The sequence below is a fragment of the Homo sapiens genome, chromosome 2 (assembly GCF_000001405.40).
Source record: "Homo sapiens chromosome 2, GRCh38.p14 Primary Assembly".
In the NCBI taxonomy this organism is placed as follows: domain Eukaryota; kingdom Metazoa; phylum Chordata; class Mammalia; order Primates; family Hominidae; genus Homo; species Homo sapiens.
In genome coordinates, this window is record NC_000002.12 from 131,356,527 (window position 1) to 131,377,247 (window position 20,721).

Below are 20,721 nucleotides of genomic sequence, written 5' to 3' on the forward strand. Positions count from 1 at the left end.
TGTTCTCATTGTTCAATTCCCAACTATAAGTGAGAACATGCGGTGTTTGGTTTTCTGTCCTTGCAGTAGGTTGCTCAGAATGATGGTTTCCAGTTTCATCCATGTCACTACAAAGGATATGAACTCATCCTTTTTTAAGGCTGCATAGTTCTCCATGGTGTATATGTGCCACATTTTCTTAATCCAGTCTATCGATAGAGATTTGAGTTGGTTCCAGGTCGTTGCTATTGTGAATAGTGCCGCAATAAACATACGTGTGCATGTGTCTTTATAGTAGCATGATTTATAATCCTTTGGGTATATACCCACTAATGGGATCACTGGATCAAATGGTATTTCTAGTTCTAGATCCTTGAGGAATCGCCACACTGTCTTCTACAGTGATTGAACTAGTTTACACACCTACCAACAGTGTAAAACGTTCCTATTTCTCCACATCCTCTCCAGCACCTGTTGTTTCCTGACTTTTTAATGATCGCCATTCTAACTGGTGTGAGATAGAATTAAACCATCTTCTTTAAAGCAAGTCTGTGAAGCTTTGGGGGCAGATAAATTCCAACTCCACCACTTACTGGCAATGCAAAATTTTTGAGTTGTCCCTTCCATAAAACAGGAGGGATACTATTTTGGAGAGCTGGTTTAATGAGACAATGTATGAGGAGTGCTCAGTCTCTAGCAAAAGGCAGGTCCTTACTACAAGGCTCATGGATATTAATCCCTTCATCTTCTCCTCCCGCCTCTCTCCTTTCCCATTATACACAGACATTTTGACTTTTACACTATAAGGTAAAGAGAAATAATAAGGTCAGCTGAATGGCTTAGGGTTTAGGAAACAAACTCAAAAAGACATTTCCCTCTAACTGTTCTTAAACATAATCTTCCCTGTAACATCTTTAAGCAAGTCAACACACACACAGACACACACACACACACACTACATATATATACACACACACACACACATATATATATATGTGTATCTGGCATGGACTCTATAGCTGGTCAAAAATGTCAAGAAATGGGCCATTACTACCAATCATGTCTCCAGTGTTCTCCTAAGGAGGCTAAAATCAGGACTGAAGTGGAGAAGTATGGTTGGTGAATTGCTTAGCAGATCATGATATAAGAACAAGGTTCAATGTAGCCTTTAAGATGTCATAAAACACCACAAAACCATTCATGACTCCTGCTATGAACAACAATCCTGGCCAAATTTTAATTCTTGCACAAAGTGCAGAAAATAGCCAATGCTTTGCCATTGATCTTTGGGATCTTAATAAGACTGAATTAGATAGTTCTATTAGCTGGAGTCTCAGTGCTCTTGTTTGAAATTCATTAAGATGAGACTGCAGATGTTCCAAAGATACAACAATCTTCTGAAATGTGTAACCAATGGAAATCTTCTTTCTTTTAGGGTTGGGTTGATAATCTAAATGGACCTAGCAGACTCATTATTGGGGTATGTTTAAGGGTGAAGAAATAACTCTCTGAAATGTAGTGGAGGAATAGTAATAAAATTCTTAGTGTTGGCTTAGCTTCACTGATCCCAAAACATAAATGTTACTTTACTAACAATTGAAGCATATTATTTCAATTATGCTAATTGTAATATAGAGACAGGAAGAAATTATTTTTATTCTTCGAGGATTTTTATCAGAAAAACCAAGGTAATGTACTATCAATTACCATTTAGGAATTCTTCTTTAAAAAACTTTTTTAAATTAAAAATATTAGTCTTAATTGAGTGTGGATAATAGAAATCCCATAATTATCTTATTTTTATTAGATACCCTCTCAAAGTAGTTTTACATTATTTTATTCTTTTGTAGTTTATAATAAATGTGTCAAAAACAATATGTACAACAGACTGATAAATGGTTCTGTTTAGCTAAGTCTACTCTAGTCTATATCATGAAAGTGTTAGGTCTAAATTTCTAAACATTATAAACAACAATTTTTTGAAGTGCTCTGATTTTCCTAACAATACAATACTCCTGACTCTCTTAAGTTTACACATGTAAATGAGAAGGAACTATATATGAAAATATCATACCTCTTCTGTAGCTATTAGAATTTTTCAGCTGAGGTTTTACATCGTCACCAATTTAGTGTCACTCCTTTGCTCTGCAAACTTCAGCTCTCAATATATAGTTAACACTTTTATTTTCTGGAGATTTTTAGACTTTAAAGAACTCATTCAAGATTGTTTAAGAAACAAAGCATGGGATGAATTGAAGACTTTCATTTTAAAAGTAAGTGCAGCAAAATTATGAAGGTTAAGCCTGATGAATATGAAAGGCAGACAGCATCAAATGCTGATGATGCTGGTAGGAATGCAAATGTTACACCACTTACGAAGACAGTTGGTCAGCTTTTTACAAAACTAAGCAAACTCTTATCATATAATCTAGCATTAATGCTTCTTAGTATTTACCTAAAGAAACTGAAAACTTGTCCACACAAAAACCTGCACAATAATGTTTATAGCAGCTTAATTCATAATTGCCAAACTTGGAAGCCAACAAGATGTCCTTCATTAGGTAAATGGATAAACTGTAATACATCCAAATAATTAAATATTATTCAGCATTAAAAAGAAATGACCTATCAAGCCATAAAAAGACATAAAGGAATCTCAAATACATGTTTCTGAGTGAAGCCAATCAGGAAATGCTACATACTGTATGACTCCAGCTACATGACATTCTGGGAAAGGCAAAACTATGGAGACAGTTAAAAAAAAATCAGTGGTTGCCAGGAGTTATGGGGGACAGAGGGATGAGCAGATGGAGTACAGAGGAATTTTAGGGCAGTGAAACTCTTCTGTATAATACTATAATTATGGATATTATGTTCAGATTTTTAAATAAATAAAACTGAAATTTAAAATAGAATAAGAGGGAATCAGGTTGATTTGTTTCAACTGAAATTCATGATCACAAAGCTCATGTCTTTATGCTTCCCAGAAAAAAATATTCCCTGCTCCATTCATTCTCATCCTTTCCCAGAGTAACAGTTCATATTTATTTTCTCTCCTTCCCATCTTCACTCTTTGCTGATAACTTTATTTTCTATTTCACTTGTAAAAAAAAGTGGTCATTTGACAAGAATTTCAAAATCTCCAGTCTCTACATCTGCTCATCTTCATATATCTATACCTACATTCTGTTATCTCTCCTTTTCATATGGGTGAACTGTCTTTGCTTCTAAATAATGTCCACCCCTCTTACTGTGACTGGGTGCTGTGTCTTGTTGTATTAGGATTCTCTAGAGGGACAGGACTAATAGGATAAATGTATATATAAAATGGGTTATTAAAGAGTGTTGACTCGCACAATCACAAGGTGAAGTTGCACGATAGGCTGTCTGCAAGCTGAGGAGGAAGAAAGCCAGTCTGAGTCCCCAAATCCCAAAAGTAGGGAAGCCACCCGTGCAGCCTTCAGTCTGTGGCTGAAGGCCTGAGAGCCCCTGGCAAACCCCTGGTGTAGGTCCAAGAGTCCAAAAGCTGAAAGAACTTGGAGTTTGACGTTTGAGGGCAGGAAGCAACCAGCACGGGAGAAAGATGGAGCCAGTCGAGCCCTTCCATATTCCTTGCCTGCTTTTATCCTAGATGCGCTGGCAGCTGATTAGAGGGTGACCACCCAGACTGAGGGTGGGTCTGCATCTCCCAGTTCACTGACTCAACTGTTAATCTCCTTTGGTGACACCCTCACAGACACACCCAGGAACAATACTTTGCATCCTTCAGTCCAATCAAGGTGACACTCAGTATTAACCATAACACCTGTTACCTACTCATGCCTGTCATTCCAGCAATTTTCTTGCTTCTTTTTCTGCATCTGAAATTTTAATTTCTCCACCAAATTCTTCACATCAAAAAACAAAAAAAGAAGTTATTTCATTTAACCTGAAAAAAACCAAAAACTCATAAAGAGCTAATGAATAAATTTATCTCAAACATTTGATAACTTTAATTATAACTTTAATATTCATAGCTTATATTTATCAATAGATTGTCTTAGGAAAAGAAAAAGACTTCCCATAAACTAGAAGAAAATGTAAAATATAACCAACATATAAACAGCAATGTGTTAAAGAATTATAAAGAATAATACAAATAACACAATTTAATGAACAAAGGATATAGACATTATACAAAATATGAAAACATGAATAGACAATATATAATGCCTAATATTGGTAATCAGGGAAATGCTATTAAACATAGCATAGCATTGTGTGTGTGGATGTGTGGATGTAAATGGCAGTAAAAGGTAAAAAGGGAAGGTGGTAAAAAGGGAGATGGTCTAATATTTTCAACATTTTTTAATTTTTGTTTTGTGTTTTATTTATATATTTTTGGCAGCAAAATTGTGTTTACTAAAAAAAAATCTGGACTATGAACACACTTCACTGCTTTGAAGAACTCCAAGCCAAATAAAAAGACCAATCAATATTAAAAGCAGTATAACTGCTTACTTTTTAAAAAATACATAAAAAGAATCAAATGCAACAGTGTAGGAAGGCAATCACCCCCATGTCAGAAGTCACAACTTCTTCCAAATAAAGAGTATGACCCATCTGCCACAGTGAATCAATATTTATTTCAGGACATGCCATGTCAAAATAAAACAGAGTCAACCCTTGCCTTTAGCAATTATATTGTATTATAAAAGCACTTTATAACTCCATCCCATCTTTAAGTGTAAGTTACTGGTATGTGGGCTAATGATTATCTGTAAGCATTTCTCTATTCAGATCCATAATCCAAGTGCTCTCTGAATATTACAAGGTGACAATAAGTGGGAAGTGGAGGAGGAAGAGGAAAGAGAGGGGACTAAGGTTCTCCCAGTTTAAGGTTTTGTTGCAATGAGGGGATGAGGAAGTATGAAGATATTTTTGTTGTCTTTTCATCTTTATACTGTGTTAAGTAACGTTTACAACATAAATTCAGCAGGCTTTTCCTGACCTATAACTCGAAGTTTTCTTCCTGCAAACAATGTATTTACAAATGTGTTTATTAGCTTACACAGCAATCTCACAATAACTAGTGAAGATTAAAAGGGCACACTCCTAGTATATTTGTTTGCAGTGTTTCAAGGGAAATACATATTGCCATGGTGAAGCTCTAAATAGATTCAACGAAACATCTAAAAATTGAAAGTTGTTAAAAAAAAAGCAAAGAAATATCACCAAAGAAAAAAGATTAATCGTAGCTTAAATATAAAACTAAATCATTAGTTAATTAAACTATACAGATCTCATACAAACGAAAACCAGCCTGAAAGACCCAACCTTAAAAAAATGCTAAAAAATAAGGCATAAATCTGCATAATATTCAGTTTTATTTCCATTCTCTCCTTTCCCTCTACTATGTATGCTTTACCTGATCTGCCTCTAGGGGCTTACAAGAAAATGGTTTCCGGTTTCCATCTTCAATTTGACCTCAAATGTCCTGAGCAAAGTTTTTGCTCTTCTGCTGAGGGTTCTTTTGTTGGTAAGCTTTAGATATCGTTATTTCTGCTAATTCAGTAGTTTTGATCGTAGTGCCAAATTTAAATTCTTCCACTGGTTCTTCTGTAAGGAATTAAACTTTTATGGTGTCTTGCCTGCATAGTATTATTTTTTAAAAAAAGAAAACCCAAGCAAAATCTATTGCTTAAAGAGGTTTCTTATTTTTTAAACAAACAGAATAACTCTTGACAATTTTAAAACCTTGGGAGAAATAGTTCATTAGAACGTCATTATCTTACCATGAAGAATTAAATACTAAAAACCTGTTCTGAAGCACTTGGTTAATTTTCTCTCCCAGAGTCTAATAAAGCACATGTGAAAGGACCATTTGTTTTAGTCAGAAATACATTTTATGTTCTGCTACTTATAAGTACTCAGTATGTTCTTTAGGACTCATTTTGAAGATGCACCAGGAGGCTTTTCTCATTCAAGCACTGCCTACCGTGATCGCTGAATTCTGACCTCAAAGAGGATCTAAGTAATTTATATCAGTGCTCAAGAATAATTCTGGACATCTTGGTCCACAGCCTACAGCAAGTGGTATCTGTAAAATTAAAGGATAATTCCAGTGGGCTTGGTCGGACTGCTGCTTTGCCATCTCTTGTTTGTTTTGAGGAAGTGGGGGGAGGCTAGGTAAGAACACGGAAATAGGGAACGGGGTAAGGGAGAGGTGAGAAGAGCAAGGAGAGATAAAGCAGGCTGTGAACATACTGCTCGTTAACCAAGCCATACTCATACTGTTGAGATTTCCATCATTTTGAAGTACATTATCATAACATTAAAAAAGAAAAAAAATGTTAAGAAAATGTATCTAATTTTTAAAGTTATCACTGGAATACGCTGAAATAGTTTGGCTTTTTGTAAAATATAAATAATGAAGACGCTGACTTTTTTTGTGCTTGTCAAGCTAATAGATCATCTCCACGAGACAGGCAGCAATGATGAATTGCAAAACGTTATTAATGAAGGGAAAAGGTTCAAGCCAATATTCACACTGCAGTCAATGAAAGAGTAAGGGGGCTTCTGAGGAAGGGTTGAAGATGACATGGGAGAGTAGCAGGAACAACCCCCTTCGCTGACTGTTTGCTCCTGAGGCTTTTCCAGTTTTATGTCACTCATGTCTTCTCTGCTTCCGTCCTGTGTGCTTTCCATTCCCGGCAAAGCTGCTGCTACACGTCGAAAGAGCTGCTTTACATTGTATCCAGCTTTTGCCCTAGTTTCAATAAACGTAACATTCAGCCCTTTGGCTTTCCTCTCTCCCTCCTCAATTGACACTTGCCTCTTGTCAGCAAGATCTGTTTTATTTCCTACTAGCGTGATGATAACATCACTTCCTCCTTCTGTTCTGACATCATCAATCCACTTTGTAGTTTGCTGGAATGAGTTAACATTTGTGATATCGTAAACTACTACAGCTGCAGCAGAATCACGGATGTACCTGGGAATGAGGCTACGGAGACGTTCCTGACCCGCCGTATCCCACAGCCGAAGCCCGATTGTTCCATCCTCCAAGTACATAGTTTTTGATAAAAAGTCAATGCCAATTATTGCCTGATAGGTGTTGTCAAAACTGTCATACCTGAATCTGGTGATCAAAGATGTCTTTGCAACGCTTTGCTCCCCCAGGAACACCAGCTTGAATTTCCTCAGCGGATTCCCGAAGTCTCCGCCCGCGGACATGGTGGAACTAGAGGAGCTGTCGCCGCCTCAGCCCAGAGACCTCCCGGACCGATGCTGCTCCAGCCGGCTGACGAAAAAGGCGAGCGGAAGGGCGGGCGCCGAGCTCTCTGCGCCCCTGCAAGGGCCGGTGGAGGAGCCCGGCTGGAGGGCAGCAGGACTCTCCACAGACTGGCAGCCGCCGCCGCCTCCCGGCAGAGTAGCCGAGCACCGAGCGAGGCCCGCGGCTGGGAAGGGAAGGAGGGCGGTGTCGGCAGGAGCCAGGGGTGTGCTTTGGCTTCCCAAGGCTAGGGCCGTTCCCTTCTTCCTCACCCGGCTCCAAGACCTGCGGGAGAAAGGCGGAGGGTGGCGGAGCCGGAACCGCAGACGTATCTGGGATCTCTCACGCGCGGCGCTTCGGCTTCCCCAGCCGCCGCCGCCGCAGCCCAACCTGCTGAGTGCGCGAGCCTCTGGCGCGGGGCGAGCCAGGGCGCCTCCACACATTTTTTTAAATACACAAAACATATGTACTAAAAACAATGGGGCGGTGAAAACAAAATATTGCAAACTAGAAAAAAGACAAAATTGACATTTTAAAGACTTTATTATGTATTATTAAATATATATTAAACAGAAATGTTATAAAATTTAGCGTCCCTATCTCCCAGTTTCTGTGAGAGGTCAGAAACTTAACTTTCCTAAGCCACAATTAAGCAAACACATCTGGCCTAATCACATGGACCAACCTGTCTCCTAACATCATGCAGGAAGTTTCAGGAGCTCCTGCAAAACTCTCCCGCCTTGCATTTGAACAGATATGTCAACTGATACAATTACACAAGAATTGTATCAAGATATTAGACTGAATCTCACAATCACACTCAGCCTGATTATTAACCCTTCTCCTGCATCTTGCTCACCTAAATGTATCTGCATTTTCTATGAAGTGAATAGCTTAGAAATGTATGTCGTCCATGTATTATAGTGTAAGTTATTGTAGTATAGAAATATGGACTTTCTTTAACTCCCATTTTCTGCCTAGGAAATACCAATTTTTTTAGTATGGCAAGTGTTTCCAAGCATTGAGAAGTGGAGAGTGTAGGATATCCACTGCAGAATGAGGTCTGCTTGTCATCCTCTTAGTCTCCACTGCTATCCCTCCCTCATCTCTCTCTGTTTCATTGATGAGTATAGAAGATCAGTCACTTTTATATGAAATGAAAATTGATGAAACTAAGGTGTTGATTTGATTATCCAACCAACCATTTATTGAGTGTTCATTATAAGTCAAATTGTGTTCTGGAGAACAGCTCAGGAAATGAATGTTTGACATCAATGTACATAACAGAAATACGAACATACCATTAAAAACTCAGACCTCTTATGACAATCCAGATTCTCATGTAAGTTTTGTGAAGCTCTTTCAAGATGACAATGTAACAATTCAAAAAAAATTATTTAAACAAGTCATTCTTGAGACAGAAAAATGGAATTACAAGATCATATATGGCTATTTCACTAGCTGAAATCTTAAGTACTGTTTTTAGTCAATTGACAGCCATATAATTCTTAGTTTTATATACTGATATTCACCAGAAATTAAAAACTTTTAAAAATATTTCTGTCTCATTCTACTAATTTTAAAATTTCATTTATTTGGTTATATTTCTTCATTTTACCTGGCCTTGAATACTTCTTTCCTGCCCAGCATTAAGTTTAATTAATGTCTAATTTGTTTACTTGGTTTAGTTACTTTTGACCATGCTTGGTACACTTGTTGTGGAGCAGGCATGTAGAAATGTTTACAGGTTTATGGTCCTCACTCTTCCAAATCCCTAACGGCGGCACCCAACAGACACATACCACAATGTAAACACATACACACACACACACCTGCACACCCATACTCACCCACCTACACACACACCCGCACACACCCATACTCACCCACCTACACACAGACACACACCGATACTCACCCACCTACACCTAGACACACCTGCACTCACCCACCCACACCCAGACTCACCCACACATACCTGTAGTCCCCAGCTACTCCCAAGGCTGAGGCGAGAGATGCTTGAATCTGGGAGACAGAAGTTGCAGTGAGCCAAGATCATGTCTCTACACTCCAGCCTGCGTGACAGAGCAAAACCCTGTCTCCAAAAAAAAAATAAATAAATAAATAAAAAATTAGACAGTTGTGGTAGCCCATGCCTGTATTCTCAGCTACTTGGGGGAGCTGAGTTGGGGGGATCACTTGAGCCCGGGAAGTCGAGGCTACAGTGAGCTGTGGTCATGCCACTGCACTCCAGCCTGGGTGACAAAGTGAGATCCCTTCTCTACAAAGAAAAAAATAAATAAAGAAGTCATCCACCATGGGCACTGAGTCTGATAACCACATACTTTCCTCAGCATAAATCTCCCAGTAGAGTTGCTTTTAGAAAATAGAAGTCATCCCAGCGCAGTGGCTCATGCTGTAATCCCAGCACTTTGGGAAGCCAAGGTGGGAGAATTGCTCGAGCCCTGGAGTTAGAGACCATCCTGGGCAACGTAGTGAGACCCCATCTCTATATACAATTTTAAAAAGTAGCTCCCTCACCCACAGCTGAGTTTTAACCCCATCCTCCCACTCCCCACCCCTCACCCCACCCTCCAGGACCAGGCCCTGTACTCACCTCTCCCTTTCTGTTCAGGGGAGCCCTGAGGGCCAGGAAGACCCTGATCCCCATTCTCTCCCTGCTCCCCCAGGGGACCCAATCAGTCCAGTGAGACCTGAGTGGCCCCTAGAGAAGGGAGCAGGTGGTCGGGGAACACAGGAGGAGTCACGTGGATGGGGGAGAAAGGCCAAGACACAGAGAATGCCCTGGGCACAGGGTCTGTGGGGGGCCCTCACTGAGCAGGGACCCCGGGGCCTGGTGGCTGGGGGCCTGGAGCAGAGCAGGCCCCTCAGAGTCCCACAGGCTTCAGGGCTGAGGGTGATGGGAGACACACCTGGCCATGTGTCTGTCACTCACCTTCTCTTCCTCAGCTCCAGCATTGCTCCCGAAGCCAGGAAGCCCTGGGGGTCCCTTTGGGGAGACAGAAGTCCCTCTCTCCAGAGAGAGGAGGAAACTCGGTTCTCCCATCGCCTCCCACTTCCTGCAGGGCCTTAGCTGGCTGCCCCAGGGCGCCCACCCTCACCCCTCACCAGCCCCATCCCAGTCACTCACCACAGGACTGGAAGGCCCAGCCTGGCCTGTGGCTCCAGGTTGGCCTTGCTGACCCTGCAGATTTGAGGGGACCCCAGGGACGGGGAGGAGCACCCCACATTGCACTCCTCCCCGGGCTTTTCACCTTCCTCCTCAAGCCCAGCCCTTGCCTGCAGTGACTCACACTGGGCCCCAGAGCCCCTCAGACCATCAGCACCAGCTGGGCCTGTGGGACTCAAGGCACCCACAGCACCTGGAGGCCCAGAAATGCACACAAGGAATGTGTCCGGAAAGGCAGTGGAGGGGATGTGAATTGGAGCAGGAGTTCAAAGTGGAAGGCGTGAGGCAGGGAGGAGGGCCCGAAGCCTGGGAGCCCCAGGGCAGTAATAACTATAGGAAACCCCTGTCCCCAGAAGGGGTCAACATGGGATACGTGGATGGGGGTGGTGGGTAGACATCTGGAGACAGAGGCACCTGAGGGGCAGAAAGGCAGAGGGGAGGCTCCAGCACCCAGGGGCAGCCTCTCTTTCACCTGGGCTTTACTCCTCATCGGCCCTGGGGACCAGGCATGCCAGTGAGACCCTGCAAATGGGACGGAGGGAGAGAACATGAGGCCTGGGCAGCCAGGCGCCACTCTTCCCCTTCCTGTGCTACACACACGCACACACACTGCACACATGCACATACTATAGACACATTGCACACACTGCACACACATGGCACACACACACAGATGCAGAGGTCCTGTTGCGAAAACGCACAGGTGTATGTGCATCTCAGGAAGAGCGAGTCACCCACACCCCACCTGGAGGCCCAGGTTAACCTGTGGCCCAGCAGAAAAGCTGGCCAGTCCCTCCACCAGTGTCCATTGATTGGTCAGTAAACATGACCACTGCTGTTGAGAACATGTTCACCAAACCTCAGGAACAACATACCCAGGACGTCACAGACTCAAACCCATGTGCTCATGCCTCCCGTTGCCATGCACACATCAGGGACAGCACAGATACCAGGCATCTCCCTGCCCGCCCCACCAGCCATTGCCCAATCTCTACCACATGGCCTAGGGACTGCCTCCCAAGGACCCAGAGCCCACCTCACTCACCCACTTGACTAGTGGCCCAGGGGTTCTATTCTCCCCAGCAGGACCAGGGAATGCCTAGGAAGAGAAGAACTGGGATGGGTGTGTGTTTGGCCTCCAGCCAAGGGACCTCTCAGGAGTGGGTATAGAAGAGGGCTAAGGGGCTGAAGGCTGGGGCTCAGTGGGGGTGGTGGGGTCACTGGTCATTCATAGATTGTCCTGGTTTGCCATCCTTGCCACAGTCACCCTTAGCACTGTCCTGGCCCTGCAGGGGTGAAGCAAGGCCAGAGGAGGCCCCAACCTGGCTGGCATCACCCCTAAAATCACCAATCTTCCCATCCCCCTGCCTGTCCTGCCATATCTCCAGCTTCCCAGTACCCAAGCCCATTAGCCACATGGAGGCTCCTCATAGAAGCCCCACCCTCTTTTCCCCTTCCCCCTCCCTAAGACACCCAAGTCACCTTCTCCAGGGGGGTCAGGGTCTCCAGGAAAATCAAGACCCTGATCCAAAGAGAGAACAAGGATCAAGGTCGCAGCCCCTTAAGCCCGCTCAACACAGACTACCACAGGCACATGCCACCCTCTCCCTCTGTACAGACAGTGCCTGCCACCTTGCCGGATCTGTCCCACAGACCCTGGCTGATGGATGAAATGAGTACTCAGACACAGGTATGCAGTGTAAGAGCAGCTAGGTGACTGCCCGGCCCCAGTGGCCAGAGAGCAGCTGTGAGAAGCTGGAGCTGCTTGCTTTTATTCAGTGCAGGCACAATGGTGAAAACCTGGAGCCAACACAACCTGTAGATAATTAACATTTATTGTTCCCCTTTCAGGGAACGTCAGGCGCACGGATGATCAAAGGTCAGTTCCTGGTTGATGTAAGTGAACAATCTTGTTTAAGAAAAATTCCCCCACACTCCCTTGTAGCTACTCCTTGCCCTCTACCTCAGGGTTATAGAACAGCTGCCTTCAGCTATTCTCCTCCTGGGGCTCTGTAGAAACTTCCGACCTTTCAGAAGGTTTGTGTCCTTTCCCTATAGTTTTTCCCACCACTCTGACCAATCCCCCACACCGCCTCCCTAGGAAGAGGGTCTCTTTTATCGGAGTGTGATGAGATTCCTGAGGGGTTATTAGACCCTGTTTCGTGAAGGAATAGAAGGTGGAGAATTGTTAGGGCTATAATGATGAAAGGTAAGATGAAATGGAAGGTGAAGAATCGTGTAAGAGTGGCTTTGTCAACTGAAAATCACCTCAGATTCACTGGGCAAGGTCAGTCCCGACATATGGAGTAGCTGATATTAGGTTTGTGGTTACTGTAGTGCCTCAGAATGGTATTTGGCCTCATGGAAGCACATAGCCTATAAACGCTGTTGCTGTGGTTGTAAGCAAGAGAATAATGCCAGTGTTTCAGGTTTCCAAATATGTGAATGAGCCATAATATAAGCCTCGGCCGACATGTAGGAAGAGGCAGATGAAGAATGTTGAAGTACCGTTAGCGTGAAAAAAGCGGGTAATTCAGCTATAGTTCACATCTCGGTTAATATAGGCGACTGAAGAGAAAGAAATTGAGGTATCTGGTGTGTAATGTATGGCCAGATATAACCCTGTGATGATCTGAAGGATTAAGCAGGTGCCAAGAAGTCAGCCCAAGTTTCATCATATAGAGATATGAGATGGAGTGGGGAGGTCGATGAGTGAATAATTAATGATTTTTATTAGTGGATTTGTTTTATGTATTATGGTCATTAGTGTTCTTATAGTTGAAATACAACAATGGTTTTTCTTATCATTAGTCATGGTTATAATCCGTGTGGGAATAATGACATATGCTTTGTTCCTATTAAGTGTTCTTTTGGTTATGGGATTTGTAGGTTTTTCTTCTAAACCTCCAATTTATGGGGTCTTAGGGTTAATTATTAGTGGTGCTATGGGTTGCGTTATTGTACTAAATTATGGTGGGGCTTTTATGGGATTAATAGTCTTTTTGATTTATTTGTAGGGGATCATGGTTGTTTTTGGCTATACTGCGGCGATGGCTATTGAGGAATATCCAGAGGAGTGAGGATCAAGCATTGAGGTTTTAGGAACGTTATTATTGGGTTTAGCAGTAGAGTTGGTGTTAACTTGATGAATAGCTGAGTATGATGGGCTGGTGGTTCTAGTTAACTTTAATAGTATGGGAAGTTGCGTAATTTTTGAGAGTGACGGGCCAGGGTTGGTTCATGAGGATTCTGTGGGTGCGGGTGCTTTCTGTAATTGTGGGTGTTGATTGGTGGTGGTTGCTGGTTGAATTGTTGGCTGGTGTTGATATTATAATTGAAGTTACTCAGGGCAACAGATTAAATACTTAAGAGTAAAGTCAAAAAGGATGGAACAAAAGAAGAGGAAATAAGATTTAATTAGGCCTTTTTGAGTAGTTATAGTAACAGAGGCTGTGATTTGGGTTTGTGAAATTGTTTTTGGTATGGACTTTTCTAGTCAAATTAGATAATAGAAGTGATGCCAGGTTTTGGCTTATAGATAGGCTTGAGTGAGGGGTTATACAGTGAATTGTGATTGAGTAAAATCCTAATATGTTAGAAAAGTTGAATATTTGTAATGGGTGTTTTATTTTAAGATTATTAATTCTAGAACTCAGTTCTATAGCCAGTAAAAGCCCTAGGATGTTTACACCTAGGGCTGCAAGTTTTAGATGAGGTGCTATTGTTGTTTGTGGGGATGAAGCAGGGGCAATGCTATTGGTAAGGAGAAACCCAGCGAAGATGCTGTCAACTATAAGGTGTTTAATTGGATTTATTAGGGAAGGAATATTTTCATTAATGTTGATTAGGGTTGGGAAGTGGGGTTGTCCTATTAGGGCAAAGGAAATAATTTGCATACTGTAGACACTTGTTAGGGAAGTGGCAATGAAAGTAATAGAGAGGGCTCAGACATTGGTATATGACGTGTTTGTGGTTTCGATGATGAGATCTTTAGAGTAAAAGCCTGTGAGGAAGGGCATACCCGTAAGTGCTAGGCTGCCAATAATAAGGGAGGAGAAAGTAAGGGGTAAAGTCTTAAATAGTCCTGTTTTTCAGATGTCTTGTTCATCGTTGAGGCTGTGGATGATAGATCCTGAACACACAAATAATATAACTTTGAAAAAGACATGGGTGCAGATGTGTAGGAATGCTAGGTGTGGTTGATTAATGCCAATTGTGGTTATTCTAAGGCCCAGTTGACTTGAGGTGGAGAATGCTACGGTTTTTTCAATATTATTTTGTGTTAAAGCACAGATTGCTGTAAAAAAGTGGTAATAGCCCCTAGACATAGTGTAAGGGTTTGGATTAACACATTATTTTCTATTAAGGGGTGGAAATGAATAAGTAGGAACACTCCTGCCACAACTATAGTGCTAGAGTGGAGTAGGGCTGAGACAGGGGCTGGGCCTTCCATGGCAGAAGGAAGTCAGGAGTGGAGGCCAAGTTGGGCTGTTTTTCCTGCTGCTGCTGCTAAGAGAAGGCCAATTAATGGAAGAAGATCGGGGGTAGGATTTAGGATAAATATTTGTTGAGGCTCTCATGTATTGGAGGATGTGAGGAATCAGGCTATAGCTAAAATGAAGCCAATATCGCCAAAGCGATTATGTAGGATCGCTTGCAGGGCTGTTGTATTAGCATCTGCTCAGCCATGTCATCAGCCAGTTAGTAGAAAAGACACAATTCCTACGCCTTCTCATCCAATAAAAAGTTGAAAAAGGTTGTTGGCGGTAACTAGAATTAATATTGTGGTGTGGAAAATAAGTAAATATTTGCAAAACTGATCAATATTAGGATCTAACTTTATATATCATATAGAGAATTCTATAATCAGGTGACAAATAGTGCTACTGGAATAAACATTATGGAGAAGTAGTCTGAAGCTTAATGAGAGTTTAAGGGTTTGGATTGTTATTCAATATCAGTTTGAGATGATGGGTTATTGGTCTGTAGATATAAACATTCTTGTGGGAATGCGGCTAATGGTGAAGGTGCATGCGATAGCTATTTTTACATAATATGGGTACAAGTTCTTCTTGTAAGGGTTGATGAAGGTAATAATAATTGGTAAGGTTAAGGAGATTAAGGTTATTATGGTAATACGTGATTATTATTTTATTTGGAGTTGCACCAATATTTTTGGTTCCTAAGACCAACAGATAGCTCTTATCCTCTAAAAGTTGAGAAAGCCATGTTGTCAGGCATGGGGGCATGAGTCAGCAGTTCTTGCACACTTTCTTGGTAAATAAGAAGAAGCAGACTTCTATTATTAGATCCACAATCTCACGTTTTGATTAAACTGTATTTGTAGGGTATAGACTGTATAATAATTTTAGGGTTTAGAGATAATAGAATAGGTGAAAGGTGTATAAATATTAATATAGTTTTTCATGTAAAGGAGGGCTTAATACTGTTAATATAATAAGTAAGTGTTTGCTGGTGTGTTGTGACAAGGATGTGAAGGAAATAAAGGGCTGTAATTAATATATTACATCCTATAAGCATAATGGTAATATTTGATCAGGAGAGTGAAGCCACTCTTACGAGGAGTTCACCTATTAGATTAGTGGAGGGGGGTAAGGCAGGGTTAGTAAGATTTGCTATAAGCAAAAGGGTATTAGTGGAAATAATATTTGAAGCCCTTGAGAGAGTAATATGATTCGGCTGTGGGTTCGCTTGTAGTTTGAATTTGCTAGGCAGAAAAGTAGGGACGAAGTAAGTCCGTGGGCAATTATGAGGATAATAGCAAGATAAAGCTTCAGGGGATTTGAATAAGGATAGCCATAATAACAAGTGCCATATGGCTTACGGAGGAATATGCAATAAGTGACTTTAGATCAGTTTGTCATAGACAGATAGAGCTTCTCATAACTATACCTCATAAGGATAACATGAGGAAGGGATAGACTATATATTCTGTCAGGGGGCTGAGGATAAGGGTTAAGTCGTATTATGCCATAGCCGCCTAGTTTTAGGAGTCCTGCTGCAAGTACTATTGAACTGGCAATAGGAGTTTCTACATGGGCTTTAGGAAGTCATAGGTGAAGTCCGTATAGGGGTATTTTTAGCATAAAAGCCATTATACACACCATATAAAGTTGTTGGATCAGGAAATTAATAGTTGTTGGGTATTAAATGTTATTATGCTCAGTGAGCCTAGGATATTTTGGGTGTAAGTAAGTATAATAAGTAGGGGGAGAGATCCTACTAGTGTATAAAGTAAGAAATATGTGCTTGCATTGAGGCATTCTAGTTGGTTGCCCCAGCGGGTAATAATAATTAAGGTGGGGATAAGTGTAGTTTCAAAGAGAATATAAAATATAATTAGTTCTGTGGCTGTAAATGCTGTAATTAGAAAAACCTGTAGGGAGATCAATATGGAAATATAGAGCTTTTTCTGTGGGAGGGATTCACTGGAGAGGTGATACTGGCTTGCTGTAATTATAAGAGGTAATGGCCAGGCTGTTAAGATTAGAAGGGGTGATGTTAGGGGATCAGAGGAGAAAGTTGATGAGGAGTTGAATAGATTGTCGTTGAATTGATTAAAGAATAATAGGGCAATAAAGCTGATAATTAGGCTGTGAGTGGTTATATTCATCCAGAGTATAGGATTTTTAGAGAGTCATGTTATTGGTAGCAGTGTGATTGTTAGAATGATAACTTTTAGCTTTGAAGTAAATTTAGGTTATGCACATAGTTTAAGTCATATGTGTTGGAAATTGAAACTAGTAAGGCAAGGCCCACTGCGGCTTTGCCGGCAGCAAATACTAGTAGGGTGATGGGTACTACGGTTGCTAGGGTAAAATGTATATTTAAAGTTATAAGGAGGGGTGGAGCCAAGATGGCCAAATAGGAACAGCTCCGGTCTACAGCTCCCAGCATGAGCGATGCAGAAGACGGGTGATTTCTGCATTTTCATCTGAGCTTTGAAGAGAGCAGTGGTTCTCCCAGCATGCAGCTGGAGATCTGAGAACGGGCAGACTGCCTCCTCAAGTGGGTCCCTGACCCCTGACCCCCGAGCAGCCTAACTGGGAGGCACCCCCAAGTAGGGGCAGACTGACACCTCACACGGCCAGGTACTTCTCTGAGACAAAACTTCCAGAGGAACGATCAGACAGCAGCATTTGCAGTTCATGAAAATCTGCTGTTCTGCAGCCACTGCTGCGGGTACCCAGGCAAACAGGGTCTGGAGTGGACCTCTAGCAAACTCCAACAGACCTGCAGCTGAGGGTCCTATCTGTTAGAAGGAAAACTAACAAACAGAAAGGACATCCACACCAAAAACCCATCTGTACATCACCATCATCAAAGACCAAAAGTAGATAAAACCACAAAGATGGGGAAAAAACAGAGCAGAAAAACTGCAAACTCTAAAAAGCAGAGCGCCTCTCCTCCTCCAAAGGAATGCAGTTCCTCACCAGCAACGGAACAAAGCTGGACGGAGAAGGACTTTGACGAGTTAAGAGAAGAAGGCTTCAGATGATCAAACTACTCTGAGCTACAGGAGGAAATTCAAACCAAAGGCAAAGAAGTTAAAAACTTTGAAAAAAATTTAGACAAATGTATAACTAGAATAACCAATGCACAGAAGTCCTTAAAGGAGCTGATGGAGCTGAAAGCCAAGGATCGAGAAATACGTGAAGAATGCAGAAGCCTCAGGAGCCAATGCAATCAACTGGAATAAAGGGTATCAGTGATGGAAGATGAAATGAATGAAATGAAGTGAAAAGGGAAGTTTAGAGAAAAAGAATAAAAAGAAATGAACAAAGCCTCCAAGAAATATGGGACTATGTGAAAAGACCAAATCTATGTCTGATTGGTGTACCTGAAAGTGACGGGGAGAACAGAACCAAGTTGGAAAACACTCTACAAGATATTATCCAGGAGAACTTCCCCAATCTAGCAAGGCAGGCCAACATTCAAATTCAGGAAATACAGAGAATGCCACAAAGATACTCCTCGAGAAGAGCAACTCCAAGACACATAATTGTCAGATTCACCAAAGTTGAAATGAAGGAAAAAACGTTAAGGGCAGCCAGAGAGAAAGGTCGGGTTACCCACAAAGGGAAGCCCATCAGACTAACAGCAGATCTCTTGGCAGAAACTCTACAAGCCAGAAGAGAGTGGGGGCCAATATTCAACATCCTTAAAGAAAAGAATTTTCAACCCAGAATTTCCTATCCAGCCAAACTAAGCTTCATAAGTGAAGGAGAAATAAAATACTTTACAGACAAGCAAATGCTGAGAGATTTTGTCACCGCCAGGCTTGCCCTAAAAGAGCTCCTGAAGGAAGCACTAAACATGGAAAGGAACAACCGGTACCAGCCACTGCAAAATCATGCCAAATTGTAAAGACCATCCAGGCTAGGAAGAAACTGCATCAACTAACGAGCAAAATAACCAGCTAACATCATAATGACAGGATCAAATTCACACATAACAATATTAACTTTAAATGTAAATGGTCTACATGCTCCAATTAAAAGACACAGACTGGCAAATTGGATAAAGACTCAAGACCCATCAGTGTGCTGTATTCAGGAAACCCATCTCACGTGCAGAGACACACATAGGCTCAAAATAAAGGGATGGAGGAAGATCTACCAAGCAAATGGAAAACAAAAAAAGGCAGGGGTTGCAATCCTACTCTTTGATAAAACAGAGTTTAAACCAGCAAAGATCAAAAGAGACAAAGAAGGCCATTACATAATGGTAAAGGGATCAATTCAACAAGAAGAGCTAACTATCGTAAATATATATGCACCCAATACAGGAGCACCCAGATTCATAAAGCAAGTCCTGAGTGACCTACAAAGAGACTTAGACTCCCACACAATAATAATGGGAGACTTTAACACCCCACTGTCAACATTAGACAGATCAACGAGACAGAAAGTTAACAAGGATACCCAGGAATTGAACTCAGCTCTGCACCAAGCGGACCTAGTAGACATCTATAGAACTCTCCACCCCAAATCAACAGAATCTACATTTTTTCAGCACCACACCACACCTATTCCAAAATTGATCACATAGTTGGAAGTAAAGCCCTCCTCAGCAAATGTAAAAGAACAGAAATTATAACAAACTATCTCTCAGACCACAGTGCAATCAAACTAGAACTCAGGATTAAGAAACTCACTCAAAACCACTCAACTATATGGAAACTGAACAACCTGCTCCTGAATGACTACTGGGTACATAACAAAATGAAGGCAGAAATAAAGATGTTCTTTGAAACCAATGAGAACAAAGACACAACATACCAGAATCTCTGGGACACATTCAAAGCAGTGTGTAGAGGGAAATTTATGGCACTAAATGCCCACAAGAGAAAGCAGGAAAGATCCAAAATTGACACCCTAACATCACAATTAAAAGAACTAGAAAAGCAAGAGCAAACACATTCAAAAGCTAGCAGAAGGCAAGAAATAACTAAAATCAGAGCAGAACTGAAGGAAATAGAGACACAAAAAACCCTTCAAAAAATTAATGAATCCAGGATCTGGTTTTTTGAAAGGATCAACAAAATTGATAGACCGCTAGCAAGACTAATAAAGAAGAAAAGTGAGAAGAATCAAATAGACGCAATAAAAAATGATAAAGGGGATATCACCACCAATCCCACAGAAATACAAACTACCATCAGAGAATATTACAAACACCTCTACGCAAATAAACTAGAAAATCTAGAAGAAATGGATAAATTCCTCGACACATACATCCTCCCAAGACTAAACCAGGAAGAAGTTGAATCTCTGAATAGATCAATAATAGGCTCTGAAATTGTGGCAATAATCAATAGCTTACCAACCAAAAAAAGTCCAGGACCAGATGGATTCACAGCCGAATTCTACCAGAGGTACAACGAGGAGCTGGTACCATTCCTTCTGAAACTATTCCAATCAATAGAAAAAGGAATCCTCCCTAACTCATTTTATGAGGCCAGCATCATCCTGATACCAAAGCTGGGCAGAGACATAACCAAAAAAGGGAATTTTAGACCAATATCCTTGATGAACATTGATGCAAAAATCCTCAATAAAATACTGGCAAACTGAATCCAGCAGCACATCAAAAAGCTTATCCACCATGATCAAGTGGGCTTCATCCCTGGGATGCAAGGCTGGTTCAACATATGCAAATCAATAAATGTAATCCAGCATATAAACAGAACCAAAGACAAAAACCACATGATTATCTCAATAGATGCAGAAAAGGCCTTTGACAAAATTCAACAACCCTTCATGCTAAAAACTCTCAA

General features: G+C 41.5%; 1 protein-coding gene and 5 pseudogenes across 1 annotated transcript; 2 read left to right on the forward strand and 4 right to left on the reverse strand.

The window, feature by feature from the left end:
* Positions 1 to 3,965: 3,965 nt before the first annotated feature.
* RAB6D (RAB6D, member RAS oncogene family) lies at positions 3,966 to 7,642 on the reverse strand. The gene has a single exon (NM_001077637.3). It carries the CDS (start codon positions 7,192 to 7,194, stop codon positions 6,430 to 6,432), a length of 765 nt encoding a protein of 254 aa, NP_001071105.1. The 5' UTR covers positions 7,195 to 7,642; the 3' UTR covers positions 3,966 to 6,429.
* MTCYBP10 (MT-CYB pseudogene 10) lies at positions 12,536 to 13,185 on the reverse strand (annotated as a pseudogene).
* Positions 13,259 to 13,775, forward strand: MTND6P10 (MT-ND6 pseudogene 10; annotated as a pseudogene).
* Positions 13,788 to 15,558, reverse strand: MTND5P23 (MT-ND5 pseudogene 23; annotated as a pseudogene).
* Positions 15,783 to 17,124, reverse strand: MTND4P21 (MT-ND4 pseudogene 21; annotated as a pseudogene).
* Positions 17,128 to 17,288, forward strand: MTND4LP28 (MT-ND4L pseudogene 28; annotated as a pseudogene).

Bases quoted from the DNA above. Each gene is read 5' to 3' on its own strand.
- RAB6D (NM_001077637.3), bottom strand. From the start codon at position 7,194: ATGTCCGCGGGCGGAGACTTCGGGAATCCGCTGAGGAAATTCAAGCTG.